This window comes from Homo sapiens, chromosome 13 (genome assembly GCF_000001405.40).
Source record: "Homo sapiens chromosome 13, GRCh38.p14 Primary Assembly".
NCBI lineage: Eukaryota > Metazoa > Chordata > Mammalia > Primates > Hominidae > Homo > Homo sapiens.
In genome coordinates, this window is record NC_000013.11 from 99,875,528 (window position 1) to 99,897,540 (window position 22,013).

Below are 22,013 nucleotides of genomic sequence, written 5' to 3' on the forward strand. Positions count from 1 at the left end.
GATGGCCTTCTAGAAGCCTCCCTGAGAGAACTCAGGAGAAGTTTCTCTAGCCAAAAATATTGTTTCCGCTTATTCAAGTGCCAGAAATCCCACTGCCACTCTTTCACGCAGATCAAATAAACCATCTAAAGACGTGGTTGTTGTCTTTGTCAACTGAAAGGGTTGATTCCACTATTAGACAACAGTGTATCCTCCCACACCCATCCAGCCCACGACCCACAGCCTTCCCTCTGGATTTATGAGCAGGAACACGAAAATCAGAGCTGAGAGGTTTGTAGTGAAAATGAAAGATAAAGGGACATAACTCTGTTTTAGAGATTCTTAGTAATTGCACTTTTCTCTTTATTTCCCTGCTCATTTAACATTTTCAGAAAGATCGGCCATAATTTTGATTTTTAAAAGTCCAGTTCTTAGAAAATCTGAGTCTGCCAATGATGACTTTAAGATTGGATGGATTAACACAAAATTGCGAAATTTTAAACATTTAAAGCAAAGTAATGAATTGCTACAAAGTATTGAAATCATATCATATTCTATTTCACTTTTTTTTTTTTTTTTTTTTTTAGTGGCAAATGGCTGGTTTGGTATTAGAAGATAAGAGTGTTTTTAATAGGCCGGGTGCAGTGGTTCACACCTGTAATCCCAGCACTTTGAGAGGCCGAGGTGGGCAGATCACAAGGTCAGGAGTTTGAGACCAGCCTTGCCAACATAGTAAAACCCCGTCTCTACCAAAAATACAAAAAATCAGCTGGGTGTGGTAGCGGGTGACTGTAATCCCAGCTACTTGAGAGGCTGAGGCAGGAGAATCACTTGAACCTGGGAGGCAAAGGTTGCAGTGAGCCAAGATCACACCACTGCAATCCAGCCTGGGTGACAGAACAAGACTCCGTCTCAAAAAAAAAAAAAAAAAAAAAGAGTGTTTTTAATGTAGATTAAATCGGACAATGTTTTAAATTGTTTGCTTTGTCCTTAATTTATAACACACTCTTAAGGATATTTTAATCAAAATATTCTTTATCCAGGTTCATATTTTTCCGGGTTTTATTTGCTCAATTTTGATTTTAAATATGTCATTATTTTAGCTGGATGAAATCTCAGAAATCTTTTAGTCAGATGCCTTCAGTTTATGACTTAATGCACAGAAACCCAGCAAGGCTTCAGAAGCTGCCCAGTATCACTCACAGCCAAGGTGGAGAGAGGGCTGCGAGCAGAATTCAGGGCTTAGTTTGTAAGTAAAGATATGGAATATCATAAATGTGTCTTCAGTTGAATATTACAGTGAATACCCACACTCATGACCAAAACGAGATAGAGCCTTAAATGCACTCAGTCACAATCAAAATCTGGATTTGGGTAGTTCCAATGTATGTCTTTTCTTGAGGATAAGCAGAAACCAATGAGGAAAGAGAGAAACCAGGGTCTCCACGTGCCGTTCCCCACACGCCTCCCTGCTCAGTGCTGCCCTGCCCTCATCCCCCAGCCCTGCCCCAGGAAGCCTTCTAGGCTCTGTTCACTGCAAACCCCACTTCACATCATTAGTTATCAGTCGTTCAGTCTCCCAACATAGATTGGAAACTCCCAGAGCAAGCCTGGGGAGCCTTTGGCAGAGAGGCCATATTTACTCCAAAGCCCAGTGTCATCTCAAGGACATCAAAGGACAGGTCCCCAGAGTCACACTCTCAGTTACACCTGTGACCACACACACCCCATGGTGTTCAGTGCCTATGGCAGCAAGATCGAAGTGATGGCCAGGAGAGGATCATTTTGTTCCTTGGACACCTTTCCCTCTCTTTCCTCTTCCTGTATTTCTCCCTCTAAGGATGGATGGGTCTGTGTGTGTATCTTTCTGTTCCACCCTCATTTTCCTTGCCCTGAATTCTCCATTTCCTCTTTTTCTTTACATCTTTTTCTTTCTCACTACATCATCTCCACACCCCAGGCCATCCCTCACCTTCTTTCCTGTAGCTAATTACATTAGAGACTTTCAGAGCATTCTTTTATTTATTTATTTTTTGGTTGTATTAATTAAAGAATTTTGTAATTCTTTTTTTTTTTTTTTTTTTTTTTAAGACAGTGTCTTGCTCTGCCAGCCAGGCTGGAGTGCAATGGCGTGATCTCGGCTCCCTGCAACCTCCGCCTCCCGGGTTCAAGTGATTCTCCTGCCTCAGCCTCCTGAGTAGCTAGGATTACAGGCGCACAACATGCCTGGCTAATTTTTGTATTTTTAGTAGAGACGGTGTTTCACCATTTTGGTCAGGCTGGTCTCAAACTCCTGACCTCATGATCTGCCCACCTCCGCCTCCCAAAGTGCTGGGATTACAGGCGTAAGCCACCGCGCCCAGCCCAGAATTTTGTAGTTCTTTTTATACTGAATTTTATTAAAAATACAAAGCAACCATTTCTATAATTGTCTTTTTTTTCCCCCACTTTAGGTCAGTGGGCCTCAAAAAAAAAGTGAGGCAATTTCTTACCACTACCTTAGGGAATAAAGAATTCTCTCTACCGTAGCACGCACCTCCCTGCAGCATCTTGGGCAGAAATAGGTACACGAAACACATTTAGTAAACATTATTTAGCTAACTGGTTTCCAAATTCCTGACAATGCTAAAAAAAAATTTATTAGATGTACTTTTAACAGTATATATGACATACTTCTGCTGCCTTCTAGAAAAATTGAAAGAAGATGTTTCCATCAATTATTTCATCAGTTGTTATTCATCAATTGTGCTTTGAAAAAATGTACCAGTATTTTAGTAAATCTTTCAGTCTCTTCTAGTTAATGTTAACTCATTAAATCTGTTTTCCAAAGAAAGAATAAGCCTGCATTATTGGTCTTAGCTACAAACTGCTATAAATGGCATTCATTGTTTGCTTTTCTCATAGGCAATAGGAGCTTAAATTTGATGTCAAACATTTTTAAATAAAGACATTTAAACATTTGGCATGTTACACATTTGTCTTGGTTTTAAAAATAATTTTTAAAAATCTTTAAAGAAGATTTCTGGTTTCAAAAAGAAATCTGAGATGGAGGTGATAGTAGCGGAACTCTACATAATTACTAAAAAATCAATGACTTATGCACGTACAATGGGTGGATTTTATGGTATGCAAATCGTACCTCAATAAAGCCACTTTAAAAATTGAGAAAATTAAGCACAAAACCTAATTTGATGGCAAATGTGTTAACTCCCTTAGATTTTGATACACTTGTAAATCCAATTGTCTTCACCTCAATACATAGCTTTCTACATAGCATACTTGGCTTTATTTTTCCAGATTTCCTTGTGAAAAGATATCGAAAACAAAGACTTGCCTACTCTTGCCTGATTATTCTGCCTGAATATTTTTAAAGAGAAATCTTGCCATCTACATGTTTAGACCCCGAGGAAAGTTTTAAAAATAGAAGGCTACCTTGGTCTCTCGGATCAGCGTTTAAAGTAAGCATGGCTCTGGTCCGTGGAGACCCAGACCTGGGCAAGTAGATGATTCGGGATGGTCACATATGCAGATAACTGGCACACACATGCACCTCAGCTCTCCTCCCTGTTGTTCAGCCGCCTCGACCTTTCCTGCCCTGCTCCTGCCAAATCCATCTTCCAAGCCTTCTACTGCTTCTCCTTCCCCATTGCACCCCCGACTTCCTGGAACTCTTGGTAAAGTCCTGAATTAGTCTTGCCAAGAACAACACACAAATCTTTCTATTTTCTAGCCCCATCTTTCCATTTATTTAGCTAAAGCTAAATAATTTCATCCTGCCTTTGTAAAAAGCAGAATGTTAACGCTGTCTATTCATTTTACATCCACTCAATTTCCACATTCCAAGAAATGTCCTCCCTTTTGAACAAATGTGTCTAGCTATCATCTTTGCTACACCTCTTCCTTTTCTGGTCCATCATCTGCTGAAAGAACGGTGTCCTGCGTTTCAGTACCTCCTCCTCCGTGTAAGCCAAGCTCTGGACTTCAGATCATCTGCATTTGATTAGCGTCTGTCCTCTGCTGATATTCTAAGTTTTTTAATTTTTCTAAATTTATTTGTTTTCCTCCTGAGGCGCTGCCAAATATATAGCATCCCTGAGTCTAGTTTCTTAAGGAGACAACTAAATCTATGATTTATAAGAGTTTAGAGGGGACAGGAAGCTTCAGGCATGAGCCTGTTTCTATTCATTGTATTTTCAAAAACACTGATGTTTCTCAAACTCTTGCAGGTCTTAAAACTACTCTGAAATCATAAAACCCACTTAGAATTCAAACAGTCTGCTTCTCACTGGGCCATTCTGTGATAAGTGGAATTAAATAATCTCTGGCCAGCAATAACAGTAGCAATACCAGTAGCAATGGTGGTAGCAGTAACCATGTGTGCCGTGGTCATGGGGCTGGTAATAATAACCAGAGGAGAGATCATCATACTCCTAACAGTAGTGGTGGCCATCATGACAGTGGTGTGGCCACAGTAGTGACAGTGCTGGTAGCATAACTGCTTCCATTTATATATATATAAAACATATTCCATATATGTGTGTATGTATATATATATATATATATTTTTTTTTTTTTTTTTGAGACAGAGTCTTGTTCTGTTGCCCAGGCTCGAGTACAATGGCGGGATCTTGGCTCACTGCAACCTCTGCCTCCTAGGTTCAAGCGATTCTCATGCTTCAGCCTCCCGAGTAGCTGGGATTACAGGCGCATGCCACTATGCCCGGCTCATTGTATTTTTGGTAGAGACGGGGTTTCACCATGTTGGCCAGGCTGGTCTCGAACTCCTGACCTCAAGTGATCTGCCCGCTTCGGCCTCCCAAAGTGTTGGGATTACAGGCATGAGCCACTGCACCTGGCCCTTGCATATATTACTTTATGTAATCCTCACAGCAGCCCTACAGGGGCGATATTATCCCCATTTTCCAGATGAAGAAATTAAGACTGGGAAAGGTAGCTTTATTCATTGTGGATCACACAGCTAGGAAAAGGCATTCCTGGATTCAAAGTCAGGTGTAATGGAGCCCAAAGTCCACATCCCTAACCTCTGCATGAAGCTGCTTCTAAGGGAAACCCCCAGAAAAGCCAGATCCTTTCTCTCCAGGGAGCTTCATTCCCCTTCATTGCAGCCACAGGCTACTGAGAGCCACAGCAGGCTGTGCCCATCCTGGAAAGTGTCCTGTTTCTGTGTGGAGAAGATGATCCCCCATGCCTGCTCAGACCATCACTGACCTGGCAGGTGGAGCTGCCCCAGGAACACAAGAGGCCTCCCTTCCGTGCCCCTCATGGCCCTGGCCTCTGAGTGACAGCCAGAGAGCTACAGGGGAAGGGACGGGAGGGATAAAGAGGAGCTTCTTCAGGCTTCTGCACCTTTCAGAGCTTGGAAAATGAATCCACTAACTGCCCAGGGTGCAGAATCCTCCCAACCTCCTGCACGACCCCCAAACTCAGCACCCTCTCTGAACCTGGGCTTTCCGGGGCCTTCCCCAGCTGCTCAGCATGCTGCTCCCGTCTGGCTTTTCACTGTGCTTCCCAGTCAGGTGCAACATGAATGCCACCCCATCCCACCCCAAACCCGATATTCCCACTGTTACATTCTTATGAATTATTTAAAGGGCTTCTCCATCAAAGGCCATGGAGTGTCTTCCGTCTGAATTCCATGATAGGTAACCATAGATTAGCACAATGTGAATTGGTGTCTGTGTTGAATGACTTCGGTTGAACTTTCAGAAATTTCATGTAGAGATACATTAGCATCCGTAAATTATCTGGCAATAGGAACGAATGGCTGCTGAATTTCAATTCAAAATATTATTAAAATACCGATGAAATTATCACTACAATTTAAAGTGTAAAAAGATGAAAAACACGTTCTATACTTTCTAAGTCTCCAGTCATATTCTTTTACTATCTTCCTGACAGTTGTTTATTTATTTAATTATTGAGACAGGGTCTCACTCTGTTGCTGGAGTGCAGTGGCATGATCATGGCTCACTTCAGCCTCGACCTCCTGGGCTCAAGTGATCCTTCCACCTCAGCCTCCCGAGTAGCTGGGACCACAGGTGCGTGTCACCACATCCAGTTAATTTTTTTTTTTTTTTTTGGAAAAGACAGAGTCTCACTATGTTGCCCAAGCTGGTCTCGAACTCCTGGGCTTAGGCGATCCTCCCGTCTTGGTCTCCCAAAGTGATTACAAGCGTTGAGCCACTGTGCCCAGCCTTCATTACAATTTTTAAAGATGTTTATCCATAAAACAAAGGGTTACTGATATTCAGATGTTATACAAGGACCAAATATCACTGCCTTCAATCCTCCTAACAACTGCTTTAGGTGTTTTTAAGACTTAAAATGTCACTCATATATTGTATTATTGAATTCTAGTATTTCTGGTATTGTAATAAATTATAGTAAGAACTTTCAAATGGAAGCCCAGGATGAAAAATGTTATAGTTTACTTTTGCCCAAATTCTCTTGTTAAAATTGCAGTTTCACGTATTTGCTTATCTGCACATTATCTGTATGTATTTTTAGCCTCATCTTATGTAATAATATTTCTGAAATAGTTTAGATATGCTATTTTTATAAATTACATTAAATATAATTTAAAATACATAGTATATACAAAATAAATATGTAGCTGTATTAGAACTTTATAATTATCCCAAATACCAGTTATCAGCCATACTTTGGGTTACAATGATTAATAAGAAGAATTTGAGATTTGGGGTAAAAAGCCTTAGATTCTAGTCTCGTCCTCTTAAGTTCCTTTATAAGATTAACTAGTACTGAACCCCATTGTTTGCACCTGTAAAACTAAATAATCATGCCTTCTGTACTATAGGTGAGAAAATGTCTTTGAAAATGTTTTGGGCCAGGCGCGGTGGCTCACAGCTATAATCTCAGCACTTTGGGAGGCCGCAGCAGGTGAATCACTTGAGATCAGGAGATCAAGACCAATCTGGACAACAGGGCAAAACCCCATCTCTACTAAAAATACAAAAAGTTAGCCAGGCTTGGTGGGGCATGCCTGTAGTCCCAGCTAGTCAGCTAGTGGGGAGGCTGAGGTGGGAGGACCACCTGAGCCCGGGAAGTCAAGGCTACGATGAGCTGTGATCGTGCCATTGCACTCCAGCCTGGGAGACGGGAGTGAGACCCTGTCTCAAAAAAAAAAAGAATATTTTGTAATAGTATAAAGTACTATCACATGAAACCTCTTTTTTGGGTAATGGGTCTTCCTAATAGAATTACCCTCCTCCAATTTTCAGTTTGGAAACTAATATTCCAGGGCTTACTGAGGGTATAGTTAACTAGAGTAGAGGTTATAGTTGCCAAGACAATCTTCCTATTTCCTCCTCAAGGAAACTGACATCCTTTCCCCTAGATCTACCCTTCCCCTGGCGCCCAGAAAGCTGTGCCAGACAATCCATCCATGCTGTCCCACTCGGAAGTAGGGCTGGGCCGGGCCAGGCCAGGCCAGCCCAGCCCAGCTCTTAGCTTCCCCATCGTTGGATCCTCGGACCACCTCTGGACAGAGGAAAAACACCCAGAGTGAAGAAAAGGAAACAGGTGGTTCAACTTCCTCTGCTTAGGGTCCAGGAAGGAGCAAACGTGGGCCCATCAGTGCATGTAGCAAGAACAGGAACCCCACCGGGTTTCAGTCCAGCTTCGTCTAATAGAGACTGTCTTTATGTGCTTTGTCATAAGAAAAGTCAAGCAGCTAATAAATAGCAGAACCGACCGGGCGCAGTGGCTTACCCCTGTAATCCCAGCACTTTGGGAGGCCGAGGCGGGTGGATCATGAGGTCAGGAGTTGAAGACCAGCCTGGCCAACATGGTGAAACCCCATCTCTACTAAAAATACAAAAATTAGCTGGGTGTGGTGGCGAGCGCCTGAAATCCCAGCTACTCAGGAGGCTGAGGCAGGAGAATCGTTTGAACCAGGGAGGCAGAGGTTCCAATGAGCCGAGATCATGCCATTGCACTCCAGCCTGGGCAACAGGGCTAGACTCCATCTCAAAAAAAAAAAAAAAATAGCAGAACCAATATTTTAAAATGTCATCTCTCTTCCAGATTGCTTTAATTTAGGCTGGAGTAGGCTGCGTGTCCTCAGGCTCTAGGAGACAGCTTTTGAGCCATAGACAGAGCCACAGAAAGATCCAGTGTCTCCTACCACACCCCTTAGTTTTGTGTGTCTGTTATGTCACTGGTGACCAGAGACACAAGGCTCCTGCAGAGCAAAGAAAACCGACTCCATGCACACTTCTCTGTGTCCCCTTCCAGTCCCCACGCCCCTCTCCTGTCTCCTGGCATCCCTGACCTTCTAAAGCTGACTTTTAAATACCTGTTCCTTGAAGCCCTTCCCTGGCCAAACCAGCACCATTGTGATAGCTCCTTCTCTCTGCAGCTCCTTGGCCCTGAAGCACCACAAACATCATAAACTCACTTGCCCTTTAACTGTTAAGTCATTTGCATGAGTTAACTTGAGCCCAAGCCAACATGAAAATTCTTTTTGTGAAAAGGTCTCACTCTGTCACCCAGGCTGGAGTGCAGTGGTGTGATCACAGCTCACTGCAGCCTTGACCAGGCTCAAGCGATCTTCCCCACTCAGCCCAAGAGTGCTGGGATTACACTACCACACTGGCCCCGACATTACCAGTTTTGAAGTCAGCCATGGTGTCCTACCAGAGGCTCAGCAAGTGTTGGCCAACTGACCAGTGAATATTACCAGATCAGGGGCACAGAGAGACATGTGCAGATAAAGGAGAGGAAAAGGGTGAGCTCAGAGCTGGAAAGCTTTGTGGAGACCTGGGGTGATTCTGTCTTCTCCTATCACTGTCCCCTCGATCACCCAGCTCACGCCCCAGAGAGAGCCATCATGTGCCCTGGTCTGTCTTCCTTCCCTCCTCCTGACCCTTTCCCCTGCTTAGCTGCTCCTCACCCTTCACATGTCAGTTTAAACATCACGTCCCACAGGATGCCCCACCTGATCAGGTTAGGTCCCCTATCAGTTACTCTTCAACTCCCCTGTGCCTTGCTTTTGGAGCAAACGTTCTAGTTCTTAAGTAATAGTCATTTCTATCACTGTCTATTTAATGTCCTTCCCGCCATTAGACTGGAAGCCCTGTGAGGTCAGGGACCACATCTGCCTTGTTGCCTGCTGTCGTAAGTCCCTGGGCCTGTGGCACGCCAGGTATGCAGTAGGCTCTGCATCCATGTCAATGCAGGGAGCTGATAGGCACAGGTGTGGGCCAGGGCATCCTGCAGAGTTTGATGGGGTGGGAGGCAGAGCCCCATATCCCTGAGACCAGCTGGGATGAAGCCTCACTGCACATTCCAGGTGACTTAAAGATTCAGCAGGGATGTGTGACAGCAAAGCTTTGCCCAGACAACTACAGTCCCTTCCCTAAGGTCCCAAATTAAAGAAAAAGAGTGACCCAAATCACCAACTACCGAACTTGTGTCCTTCTATTCAGGTAGGTCGGTATTGCTGCTCTTGGCTTTGCATTCAGCCTTTTCCATCATCACCAGGTCAGCGGTCACAGAGCATCTCCCGTGTACCTGGCAGGTACTGGGTGCTGGGTGCCAGGTCCTGGGAGTCAAAGGTACGTGAGGCCTGGCGCCTCCCCACAGGGGCCTCACAGTGTTGTGAAAGACAGCAATGTAAACAAATACTCTCACTAGATGGGAACACAGGCTATACAGAGAGCTGTACAGGGAAAGGGTGGAGAGGGATTTGCTCTACCAAGGAGGCCTCAAAACACTTCACAGAGGTGACACCTTGACATCTGGAAGCATCAGGAGGAGTTTGCCAGACAGGGAAAGGGCCTTCAGAGAGAGAACAGGGCATGCGGCAGAGCTGCAGCGTGGTGTGTGTTGGGGTACAGGCCTCAGGGGACTGGCAGGAGATGAGGCTGAGGGGGGAGGGTCCCATCATGGGCAGGCTTGGGTCTCCACTGAAGATATTGCACTTAATTCTGCAAGTCCAAAGAAAACCATGGCAGGGTTAAAGCAAGTGGATGATTCCATCAGATCTGTTTTAGAAAGATAACAGCACGCTCCCAACTAGAAAAGTGCCACTCCCTATAAACATCCTGGCACCATGTCCCTGAGAGCTCCAGGAGCCAGCTTTGGAGCCGGGAAGCCTCACTGAGCTGAGGGTGCCTGGCACCCAAACGGACATCCTTAAAATGAATGTCACAACAAAACTGAGAGGGAACCAAGGGCACACGAGGGCCTTTCTAAGGACTCTCCAAGTGGGAGAAGTTGCAAAATAGGAAAGAAGAATGAAACAGTGCCCATGAGAGTGTCTCCGGGAGCATCATCTTCCGCCTTTCCTGAGGAGTTTCAGGGCGCTGTTGACCTCGTAGGTAAGGAGGAGCCGTATCCCAGGAGGCCACAGCTGGGCTGAGAGATTTAGCAAGTGGAAGGCACAGCCAGGATCTCGAGGAGAAATTTGATCACGGCCAACACTGGCTGGAAGTTTAGGAATTCCCTGGGAACTGCTGTGAGGCCAGTCATTCATTCATTGAGCAGAAAGACTTAGCACCATATGGGAAAAGGGTGATACCCCAAAAAAGGACTCTAGCCGCTGTATTCAAATATTAGCGTTAATTCTCACAGAGAACTCCCTCTCAGGAAGCCACAGCAACACCGTCATCAGAATGTGCCAGAAGGAACCCCTTCAGTATCCACAGAAGTTAATTTGGAAACATAGTGAATAGGGAAAGACTTAGATCAATTTGTGGTTTCTAGAAAATTACTCTTTTAGGACTATGGAGAAAAAAGTCAAGTACTAAGTACCAGAAATGCAAAATATATGACAATTTCCCATAGATGTGATTACTATTGTCATCACGCCATCATCATCACCTTCACCATCAAATTGTAAGTCAGATTATGTCAGTGCTTATCTGATCCACGGGCAATGGCCGAGGTGTCAGAAAAACTACAGTTCGATGGTGACTGTTTCCTTCCTACGCGGAAGACACGTGTGCTATGGTGATACTGGCCTTCACCTCCAGGAGTCTGAAATCATAGACATATGTATAGTAAGATGTGCAAAGCAATTGACCAGTGATTTATTACAACAAATAACGCCATAGGTAACTGTCAAATAAAAGCCCATTGCGTCCGGAGTTCCACGGCAACGCGTGGAGATGCCTGGCATTGCTCTAGGTACCCAATGTCGTATCTGTGTGAGCAGTGCAGTCTCGCAAAGATGGCCCTGATTGGGAAGAAGTGCAGCCATGGCAGGCCCTCAGATCGTCCCTGTGCTCACCACCCTGGCCTTTTCTCCGATTCTTGTTGCATCAGGTAGCACCTGCTTCTTCCTTCCCTCTCCCCTCCAGCAAATGGTAAGCTCCCAGAGGGCAGGGCCAAGTCTCATCCTCTCACTGTCCCAAGTGACTCACCAGGGCCTGGCACAAGGGAGCTGCTCGGTCCATACTTGATGGATGAATGGATAAGTGGTGACTAACCTAAGGAAATTCTGCCATTTGGCATCTTGGGGATGCCTTACAAGAGAAAGGCATCATTTACAGAAGGCTGCAAGAGGACTCTTCAGTTTATAGACCTGCATATCCAAGCCAGCCTAACCATTTCTACCTGGGGGAGCTAAAACACGGAAGTTCTCAACGTGAATGTGCATTAGAATCACCAGAGGAGTCCTAGTCAACCTCTAGGTTTTCTGCACAAACCACGTGGCACTGGGCCCAGGAATCTGCATTTTAACAAGTCCCCCCCGCCCATTGTTCTGATTCAGGGGGTCACAGAACACACTCAGAGAACCCTTTTCAATCACCAGGCCCCTAAGAGCACAGGCTTGGCATTAGATAGAGTCAGCTTTATCCCTGTTCTATTATATCTTTACTAACTGCAGGGCTAAGTTGCACATGGTTCTTAAGCTCCTTCTGCCTCAGTTTCCTCAGTTATTAAAAGGGGATGAGTACAAACTCAGAGACAGAAAGGAGAATGGTGCTGAGCAGTGGCTCATGCCTTGTAATCCGAGCACTCTGGGAGGCCGAGGCAGGAGGATCACTTGAGCCTAGGAGACTGAGACCAGCTTGGGCAACATAGGGAGGCCTCGTCTCTACATAAAAAATTAGCTGGGCATGGTGGTGCACACCTATGGTCCCAGCCACATGGGAGGCTGAGGCAGGAGGATGGCCTGAGCCTGGGAGGTCGAGGCTGCAGTAAGCCGTGATGACGCCACTGCACTCCAGCCTGGGTGACAGAGTGAAACCCAAGGATTCTACTTTTGGGATCCTTGTCAAAAGTAGAATGGTGGTTGTTGAGGGCAGGGGGACATGGAAATGGAGAATTGTCTTATAGATACAGAGTTTCAGGGATTTGGGGTTTTTTTTTTTTTTTTAGGATGGAGTCTTGCTCTGTTACCTAGGCTGGAGTACAGCGGCATGATCTCAGCTCACTGCAACCTCTGCTTCCCAAGTTCAAGCAATTCTCGTGCCTCAACCTCCCGTGTAGCTGGGATTACAGGCACCCACGACCATGCCCAGCTAATTTTTGTATTTTTAGTAGAGACAGGGTTTCACCATGTTGGCCAGTCTGGTCTCGAACTCCTGACCTCAGGTGATCCATCCGCCTTGGCCTCCAAAGTGCTGGGATTACAGGCGTAAGCCACCATGCACAGGCTGCAGAGTTTCAGTTTTGCAAGAAGGAAAAGCTCTGGAGATCTGTAGCACAATGTACATAGAGTTAACACTACTGAACTGCACACTTAAAAATGTCTAAGATGGTGAATTTTATGTTTTATGTTTTTGCCACAACTAAAAAGAAAAAGTTTTACTGGGGTTGGATAATGGTATCTACTTCAAAGTGTTGTTATGAGCATTACATGAAATAATGTATGTAAAGTGCCAGGCAACAGGCCCCAGACTAGGAACTGCTCAAAAAATTATAGCTATTATTATTACAGTAGCATGGGTGTTAAAAAATTTAACCATGAGGCCATGCGCAGTGGCTCACACCTGTAATCCCAGCACTTTGGGAGGCCGAGGTGGGCAGATCAGCTGAGGCCAGGAGTTCGAGACCAGCCTGGACAACATGGTGAAACCCAGTCTCTACTAAAAATACAAAAAAAATTAGCCAAACGTGGTGGCACGCACCTGTAGTCCCAGCTAGTTGGGAGGCTGAGGCAGGAGAATCGAACCCGGGAGGCGGAGGTTGCAGTGAGCCGAGGTAACACCACTGCACTCCAGCCTGAGCAACAGAGCGAGACTCAGTCTCAAAAAATATATAATAAATATAAAATATAATCATTAAGGAAGATTTCAAACCCTCCTCAAAAATCCAAGTAGCTTTTTGATGAACTGCATTTTTCTAAATCCTGACCAATAGACTATTTTTCATCTCACCTATAGACCCACATGTTAAAAAAATACCACCTAAATTATAGGTGGCTATGTGAGAGCCTGGGGATATTCACGCTAGGCAGTCTCATTCATAACACTACCATCCTCCATTTGCAGTGATGCAGGAAACAAGAAAAATGCTACATTTCGTTTTGCACCTTAAGCTTCATTAAAGAAAATCAAGCAAAACCTGCGACCATAGAAGAAATAATCTCCCAGTCTTGAAAAACTACATGAAGTGTTTTTTATCTTTGATGTGCACATGGAACCCAAAGCAGGTTCGGGAACATGGCACAGACTCACAGCCACCGTTTGGATTCTCTGCGCACCGTTTTGATTTCCTGTGCATCTATGCTAATTTCGTCTCCCCAGCCTATTGTTTAAACCCTAGCAGGACAGATGTGCTGTTTTACAGGGCCATAACCCACTTGGTGGGTGGATAACCAAGAGGCCTTTGGTCTTCATCATTTACTCCAATAAGAAAACTAGACGATTGCCTTGTAAAACAGCATGTGACCCAGGCCCGGATTTCCACGTAACGCCAACCTACAGGACCACCTCGGAACTTCCAACCAAATTAGGAAAATTCCTCCTGGTCACAGAGGTGACCAAAATTAGCTCGAGGCTGAATGAAATTATGGAAAGGACAATCTAGGGGTAAAAACAGTAAAAACAAGAGGGCTGGGAAGTGACTTACAGTACAGGAATTTAGGTTTAGGCCACACAGGTGTTCATGTGAGTAAGAGTCATCATTTCTAAGGCTGAAAAGGTTGGCCACTGCTGGTAAAAATTCTAATCCTAGTAGGCTTAGAATCTCTCTCAATCAAAAGATAAATCCCAAAAGTCATTGCTAAGGATTCCCCCCATTTTTCTTTACCTCCATCCTATGTATAACCGTAAGTTACTACCTCTCAGCCCTCATCATGAGAGCCCAGCACTCCTGTCCCGGCAGCCCTGAGTGACATCAGCATTGACTGTTGGGAATTGGTACTTGTGAAATCCAGAAATGGGCTACAATAGATGCAAATGGACCATCATCAATGTGCATTAGGATTGCCCCAGCCACCCCCAGATCTCGAAGGACCCCTGCAACCCAGTCACACCAGCATCCTTGCCAACAGGTCGAAGCAGGGTGGATTAGGATGAAGGGATATCATCGTAAGCAGCAAAAGGAAGTGATGAAAAGAACACAAATAACCAGACATTAACTTTGGGTTCTGAGCATGCTGCTTTCTGTCCGTTTAATCTATCTTTTGCTGATGCACTTAAAGAAGCTACCTTGTCTTCTTAATGTGGGGATCTCTGATGAAGGCTTGAAGCTCTGAGACCCAAGCATCAGCCCCAGCTCTGGCTTTCCCTAGTCACATGACCTTGGAAGATCACTTCTTTTTTTTTCCTTCTTTTACTACTCTGAGCCTCAGTTTCCTCATCTAAAACAGGGCTTAGGTTACTTGACACAGTCTATATAAGTATGGTAGAAGTTTTTTAAAAAATGAGTCTGTAAAATGGGACTATTCCAAGAGATTTCAGAGATGCCTTCCCATCTTAACATTCAACAGATCTATGATTCCTTTGTTACAGCTCATGTCCCTGGTATTTCTTTCTTTTTTGAGATGGAGTCCCGCTCTGTCACTCATGCTGGAGTGCAGTGGTGTGACCTTGGCTCACTGCAACCTCCACCTCCTGGGTTCAAGCAATTCTTCTGCCTCAGCCTCCCGAGTAGCTGGGAGTACAGGCGTGCACCACTATGCCCAGCTAATTTTTTTGTATTTTTATTAGAGACAGGGTTTCACCGTGTTGGCCAGGCTGGTCTTGAACTCCTGACTTCAGGTGATCCGCCCGCCCCGGCCTCCCAAAGTGCTGGGATTACAGGTGTGAGCCACTGCGCCTGGCCGTCCCTGGTCACTCTAATCGTCTTCTGTATGGGTTTACCAACAGACTCATCTCTTTGTACCCTGTACAATCCTACCTTGCATTTTCTCATAACCTTATCATGTTACCTCTCAATTATGTTACAGCAAGGAGGTAAGATTTTGCCATTAGCCTGATGGTACAATTTTTTAAAACAATAATCAGTTGCCAGAATATATTCTTGCTTTTAAAGTTCTACATAATATTTCAAAAATATATAGGGAAGTATTTAGATTTTCCTTCCACAGCTGTTTTCTGCTTGATTTCAAGAGTTAACTGAACAGTTTGCTGTCTTGTGTCCAATGTGTTTCTCCTCTCCATTAAAATGCTGAAGATTTTTATTTTTTTCCCCTCTTTAGGGGGAAAAAAGAAGTGTTTCCTCTGTAATTTACTTTGGCTTTCTCAAAAGTTGGGCGGGAAAGTCAGTATAATTCAGGTGGAATCTAAAATGTTCTTGTTGCACAAGTGTGCACAGAAAGGAAACCTATAATTTCGAGTATTCTTTCAGGAAGTTTGTATTCTCTGTTTTCCAGGGGGCCTTTACTTTCCAAGGGAGTATGATCGACATGCCATTACTGAAGCAGGCCCAGAACACTGTTACGCTTGCCACCTCCATCAAGGAAAAATGATCTGTTAAATGAAGCTGTCATCAGGTGGGCTGAACATATACAGTGGGGTTCTTAAAGACAAACCACAATACTCAAAGCAACTTGTTAGGATGCCAGATTGGGACCTGACTCCATTTACAGTTCATGTTAATCACAATTTTGTTGTTGTTGTCTCACTGGCCAGTTATTCCCCTAAAAAAATGAACGCTTTTCCCTTTGGATCCAAGCTTATGATTTTATCATTTTTAGTGTATTACGAATATGGGCTTATGATTTCACAGGGAGGTAAGATCCTGGGGAAAGATGGGCTGTGAGGCGAAGGTAGGTCTTTAATGAAATGGATCTTTCCCAAATAGACATATTCCCTCCACCCTTCTCATGTTAGTAAATGTTTCCTGCTTGTTCATTTATACAGCTGACACCACAAATAATTTTAAGAAAAGCCAGGCCTTTAAAACATAGTAGCAACATTAAGGGGTCATCTCTATTTCACTAGTAATCTGATAAAACAACAGAGATGGCATCAAAAAAGAATACTAAGTATTATATTGGCTTAAAAAGACACTTTCTGAAAATAAACTTTCGAAACTGGTTACTATTAACCTCCACCCCTAAAACGAAACATCCATCTCCTTGAACCGCTAGACGATGAACACGAAAGCTGTCATCCTGGGTGAATGCTGTGAGTCAACCATTACCGGCAATTAAAAAATAAATGTGCAGAAACACAAGACCATCCATTCTCCCCCTTTATTTTCCCGTTTAACTGTTTGCCATTGAGGCTATTTCCCCCTGGAAATGTATGGCTGGGACAGGACTCCCTCAGTCATAAACTTGTAGCGTCTCAGAAGACACAATGCACCCGAGCTGGTGCATGTGGCCCCTGCGAGATTTGCATCACATTAGAGATGCGGCTGCAGGTCAGATGGGTGGTGTGGTTAACGGGCTTAGTAAAGCTGTTTTGAAGAGGTTAACCCAGCTTGTAGTAAGGGTAAATAAACATAACAACCAGCCATTGTTCCCTATTCAGCATGTACTCTTATATTGAAGGCTAAAGGGTATTGAAGCTGCAGAGGGATCAACTTGTGCTTGCCAGAGGACGCCAATGAAGTTTGAAACACCAACAATCAGAGATTTTGTTTCTGTTCCTCATTAAATCATGAGCTTTTGTGCCGAGACTCTGGACGACTGTTCCTTAAGAAATTAACAGAATGGGAAGTTTTAAACTCTACACCAACCTTTTCATGACCTACACAGCAGCAACGCTGCTACTCTTAGACAAACACCGCGGGGAAGGCTGTTCTGTTTATTTAAATTTGTAAATAGAAAACAGTTGTTTTTTACTTTCATTTTTCACCTCCTCCTACGCCCTTTTGGATTATTTCCTCTGCGGCCCCTAGCATGAGCCCCAACCAGGCCTCCCCTTTTCCCCACTTCTCTCAATTCCCACAGGAAGCCCGAGAGGTGAGGAGCTGAGGTTAGACACCAGGAGAGGCACCATCACACAAAAGCGCGGCCGCAGAGTCCCACCGCCACCAGGCGACCCCCACCCAGAGAGGGACAGACATGCGGGGAGCCAGCACCGGGCAAGATGGCTCTGGGGATCCTCATTCTGTGAAGACACCAACTCATTTCTCAAACACAGGATCCAGGAGACAGATAGCTCCTAAATGGAGATGGCACATGCTCCGTGGGGTCCCTCATAGAGGAGTGCCACCCTCCACACTGGCCACGCTGGGCTGCCCCAGAGCGGCCAGAAAGGAAGGTGGGAGCTAGCCCCATCCTCACTCAGAGGCCGGAAGGAGGAAGATGGCATCTCGCCAACTTCAGAGCCGAATGGCCTCTAGCCACACTGCTTCCAGACCCCAGACGGGGCAGCAGCAGCAGTTCCCAGAGGAGCACCCATTGTTGCAGCTAGGACCCACCAAGGATGGGACTCCTGGAGTCAGGTGCACACCAGGTAACCCAGGACCACGCTGTGCACCCCCAGTCTGCCCCTCTGCTCAGAACACAGAGGGATGGGAGGATGGCTTGGCAGTGGGAAGGCAAAAGAAGGCCTCTCTCACTCTGCCCCTGCCATACGCACCCGCTGAGGGTGTTAGAAGCAGTGGAGGCAGAGCTGGCCCTAAGCAAAAGAAGAAAATAAACCTCACCTTGTCCTTCCTATGGGCAGCCCTCACCCCAATCTAACTAACCTTCCCATCCTCCAGCCTAATCCAAAGAAGCCCTTGGCTTGAGGGGATGAAGGGCTTGCGTTCTAGTCTCCACCCCAGCCCCACAGGCAGCCAGCCAGCCAGCCCCACACAGAGGGGCCTCCTCAAGGCCTCACTGGGAGCCTCCTGTCCCCAGCCAAGGAGCCCTACAGACCTGGGGAAAAGCAGGCCCCTCCGCAAGGCCCCTGGGTGGTGCGGAGGCCGGACCGGCTAGGCCTCCCGCTGCTGGCCACTCCCAGGCCACGGGTTCCTAGGTCCCAACCACATTGGACTGCTCGCCACGCCACTGCCCTCATCCCAAACTGCTTTGTTCAAACAAAACCACCTTGTTTCAGTCTCCCCAAATGTCCAGTTCATTATCTTCCTCATAACCCATGGTCCCTATTAGGGTAGGATCATGAGACTAAGACCTATGAGAGCCACAAATCTGGACCAAAGTCCCATTCCCTGAACAGAGACCCAAACGACGAGGGTCCCAGAAGAGAGTTCAGTCCTGATCAGAAACCCATGGTGCCTTAGTCCTTGAAGAACAAAACTCTAGGAAGAAGATGCTGGAAGGCAAAGGGTATTCCCCCTCTTTCCCCACCCGCGTCTCTGTGGTGCCATGGGTGGGCCCAGGTACCCTGGGAAAGGTGGGAGAGCAGTCAAGGGTGGGTGTGTGATCTCCACTGGGCTCACTGGGCACCCCCGACACGGGGAAGTGAGAGCTGCCCGACTCCTGAGCCAGGCGTGGGTGACAGGAAGAGGACCTTGCAGCTAATCTGATTCATTAGAAACCATACCTGTTTATGTTTTGTGTAGCTCATCACAAGCCGCTTAGCCATATCACCCCCGTTATTAATTCTTGGGGTCTAAATTATGGGTAACACTATTAAAACATTATCAGAACTAATGAGAAACAATTACTTAGAAAATGAGCCGGGACAAGACTGAGTTGGGAACATCAGTGGTGATCACTGTAGATTAGTTTAATAAATCATCAGGTGCAAGGCAAGACTGACTGTATGTATGCAAAGCCCCGTCACGGGAAAATGAAATTGAGATTTTTTTTTTTTGCATAATTTTTTCATTAATCTCAATAGGACCCGTGTGGTGTAGATTGCTTTATTCCCCTAATACCTTGCCTGAGGCGGGGGGGGGGGGGGGTGCCCAATAATGTCTTCATTGTTTTACTGAGGTCTTAATGACAATCTGTGACAACCTCATTTTAATGTATAGAGGATTATATCAATACAGTCATGTTTTATTGAAATGGTGAAGGGAACTCCAGTCAGAGTCAGGCAGTGTCTGTGAGCACAAGTTAGGAAGTTTCTCGGCATCCGGGAGCGTTCCCGTCTGATGTCCCAGTGTTAGTCCTCCCGGCCGCCCTCCCCTCCTCTCCTCCAGGGACGGCTGGGAAAACAGTCCTGCGGGATGAAGACTTCACCGCCTCCGATTTGAATTTGAAAGTAACTCCTTCCGTGGCATATTTCGCTGGGCAGATAGAACAAACCATGTCGTTTTCCCCCGTCTCTAAAATAGACATATTATTATCATTCACACTTTTGCACCCGGTCGTTTTGCGGGAGTTCGGGAAACTGACTTTCTTCATTGGGGACATTGTAATTTTCTGATGATGCCACGAGGAGAAAAAAAATACGGGTTTGTTTTAATTGGAAGGACCTTCCGCTTTTATGATTTCGGTTTACCTTGGAAAACTGAATCTTCTGTGTTTTATTTCTTTCCTCTAGTACTAGAAAAGCAATGAATTAATTGCACAAAACAGGTTCTGAGACGGCCCGCAGGCCCCGAGCTCGTGGACGCGGCCGAGGGTCGGGTGTGACCCGCGGAGCCGCTGCCAGGCTTCCCAGCTCGTCTTCGCGGGGAGGCGGGAGGCAGGACCAGACCCCAGCATTTCAGCGTGAAAGTCTTCGCCTTTCTTTCCGCGCTGTCTTTCCCGCGGGCGGAGCGGCGTACCTGAGCGCGGTCCCCACGGAGGATCAGTGACTTTCCCAGACCCCGCGGGCGAGCCCGCGCTTGGGACCCGGCAGCTCTGCGCGGGCTGGTTTTGGAGGGGGTGGTGTTCGTTTGTTTAAATTCCAGTTGTTATTTGGCAGCATATCGCCTTCCGAGTCAGTAAGAATTGCCCACGACGTAAAGAGCGACTTGCAGGAAGGGGCCGAAGCCGTCGTTAGCGCCCGGGCGGCGGCGGCCACTCGAACCCCGTTTCCGCCAAGCGCGCTGCAACCTGCGGGGCGAGTTCGTTTTGTTTTGCCAAAATCATTTGGGGACTTCTTTGTCATTCATGCCCTTCCTTTTAAATGATTTTTATTTTTTTCCACTGTAAGTGACCGGCTGGGTTTGACTTTTGCTTCTTCCGACGGAAGGGCACCGCGAGCCGGGGTGGGCGGCCCCGCGGGCAGGAGGAGCGCGGGGTACACGCGGTGGCCGCAGACGCCGAGCCCTGCGGAGCCCCGAGGCCTCGTCGCCCGCGCCCCCGGTGCGCGCGGAGCCGGGGCCGAGGCCGGGCCAGGAGGAGTGTGGCGGCCCAGGAGGCCTGGACTGTGGGCCCTGCTCGCCCGCCCGCCGCGGGCCGCCCGGAGCCCGCGCGCCTGTCGCGCAGCCCGGCTGTAATGGTGGCAGATCAAAGGCGGCCCCGTGTCCCCGCGGAGCCCGGGACAATCCCGCGCCTTTGTGCGCTGTTGCTAGGAGCCCGAGAAACTAAGAGAAAGTGTCAGGAGCATGTTAATCAGACTCGTTACACTGTAACAATAACGTCTCTCTCGGGTCTCCCAGGCCCCAGTACCCCCGCGCACCCTGCGCGCAGGCCGGACACCTGCGCAGGGCCCTTGCGCCCGCCCTGGGGTCCCGCCGGCCCTGGGGTCCCTGCAGCCCCGAATCCGCACCCGAGCCACGCGGAACGACTAGCCCCGAGGGGCCCCGCAGGCTCCCGGTGCAGCTCCCTGGTCGTGGTCTCCTTGACCGAAGCCCCGGCCTCACACCGCCTGGCCGCGAGCCCGAGGGACGCAGGGACGATCCCGGTCCCCTGCTTTTCAGTCCTCCAGTCGAATCGCCCACTTTGTTCAATCACAGTATTCGAATCAAGAGGAAAATGAACATTCCCTTTATGGTAGCTTTTTGGTTATGAGTTTTGGCAAAACTGTTAAATCAACTTTGCCGATTTCCCTTGGGAATCCCTGGAGGCCACTCTAAGTGGTAATCCCAAGTTTAAGAAGGAAATGGGGAAATTTTGCTGAGAGTAAAGATGTCGCCGAACTTTTTGAAGGGATTTGCTTCATTCATTCATTTAGTCATTCAACAGACACCTGTTGAACCCGACTGGGTGCCAGAGGGGCCAGTCACAGGACTTATTCCAGATGAACTTTTCTTTTGAAATTAGAATGCCCTTGTGGAAGCCAAAGGAGGAGCAGAGGCCTAAAATAATGTCAAGTGTCAAAGCAAAAAGAAGTGCCATTGGCTACTACAGTGTGTGATGATAACAAGAGAGGTGCGAATTAGGAATTAAAAACGTTTGAAAAACTACAGGCCATATGCTTTGAAACCAGCCACTTTTTCCATCTTTCATCTCCCTCTCCCCTCCGGTTTTGGTGGGCAGGAGCTATGCCAGGCTGCAGTCCTCAACCCGTCAGAGGCCTGCCTGAGGTCTGAGGAGTGAGGCCAGGCCTTCTGTTTGTACACAGCCTTTCAAACGTGCAGAGAGACACACTCCATCCTGGCCCCATTCCCCCTTTGCTCATACGCAGGGAACTGGAAACCTGTCCTCAAGATTAGGGCTGAATTTGGCCAAGTTAAGGTGCTTTTCTCCCATACAAGCTCTTGTTCGAGAACAAACCCATTCTGGAAGGTATAGAAGGGGGCCAGACTTCCAGAGTCAAGCTACCCGCACCTAAGTCACAGGACAAAGCTGGCTGTCACCAGGATGGGTGTAAGACAGC

At 46.7% G+C, this 22,013-nt stretch overlaps 1 protein-coding gene and 1 long non-coding RNA gene across 11 annotated transcripts in view, besides 5 other annotated features; one reads left to right on the forward strand and one right to left on the reverse strand.

The window, feature by feature from the left end:
- CLYBL (citramalyl-CoA lyase) overlaps window positions 1-22,013 on the forward strand; it is a 302,755-nt gene that overhangs the window by 268,838 nt on the left and 11,904 nt on the right. For 3 of the 10 annotated variants that reach the window (NR_104592.2, NM_001393361.1, NM_001393360.1), the window contains one exon: window positions 15,791-15,910. Coding sequence is in view for 9 of the 10 variants with exons in the window: in NM_001393361.1 (NP_001380290.1) it covers window positions 15,791-15,886 (96 nt within the window). In the remaining variant the exon portion in view is untranslated. Of the gene's footprint in view, window positions 1-15,790; window positions 16,597-16,895; window positions 17,196-17,317; window positions 19,073-22,013 lie in introns of those variants that run through there. The other 7 variants (NM_001393357.1, NM_001393362.1, NM_001393356.1 and 4 more) reach the window with 6 other exon arrangements.
- CLYBL-AS3 (CLYBL antisense RNA 3) overlaps window positions 1-22,013 on the reverse strand; it is a 216,296-nt gene that overhangs the window by 134,658 nt on the left and 59,625 nt on the right. The gene's annotated exons all lie outside the window — the stretch shown is intronic.
- Window positions 16,567-17,121: an enhancer, noted in NCBI's record as "OCT4-NANOG-H3K4me1 hESC enhancer chr13:100544348-100544902 (GRCh37/hg19 assembly coordinates)". NCBI's record gives its function as "activates a minimal SCP1, AML or CMV promoter by ChIP-STARR-seq in naive H9 embryonic stem cells {active_cell/tissue: H9 hESC(naive)}" and the evidence as "EXISTENCE:reporter gene assay evidence [ECO:0000049][PMID:30033119]".
- Window positions 17,122-17,675: an enhancer, noted in NCBI's record as "OCT4-NANOG-H3K4me1 hESC enhancer chr13:100544903-100545456 (GRCh37/hg19 assembly coordinates)". NCBI's record gives its function as "activates a minimal SCP1, AML or CMV promoter by ChIP-STARR-seq in primed H9 embryonic stem cells {active_cell/tissue: H9 hESC(primed)}" and the evidence as "EXISTENCE:reporter gene assay evidence [ECO:0000049][PMID:30033119]".
- Window positions 17,676-18,229: an enhancer, noted in NCBI's record as "H3K4me1 hESC enhancer chr13:100545457-100546010 (GRCh37/hg19 assembly coordinates)". NCBI's record gives its function as "activates a minimal SCP1, AML or CMV promoter by ChIP-STARR-seq in naive and primed H9 embryonic stem cells {active_cell/tissue: H9 hESC(naive and primed)}" and the evidence as "EXISTENCE:reporter gene assay evidence [ECO:0000049][PMID:30033119]".
- Window positions 19,410-19,911: an enhancer, noted in NCBI's record as "H3K4me1 hESC enhancer chr13:100547191-100547692 (GRCh37/hg19 assembly coordinates)". NCBI's record gives its function as "activates a minimal SCP1, AML or CMV promoter by ChIP-STARR-seq in primed H9 embryonic stem cells {active_cell/tissue: H9 hESC(primed)}" and the evidence as "EXISTENCE:reporter gene assay evidence [ECO:0000049][PMID:30033119]".
- Window positions 19,912-20,411: an enhancer, noted in NCBI's record as "H3K4me1 hESC enhancer chr13:100547693-100548192 (GRCh37/hg19 assembly coordinates)". NCBI's record gives its function as "activates a minimal SCP1, AML or CMV promoter by ChIP-STARR-seq in primed H9 embryonic stem cells {active_cell/tissue: H9 hESC(primed)}" and the evidence as "EXISTENCE:reporter gene assay evidence [ECO:0000049][PMID:30033119]".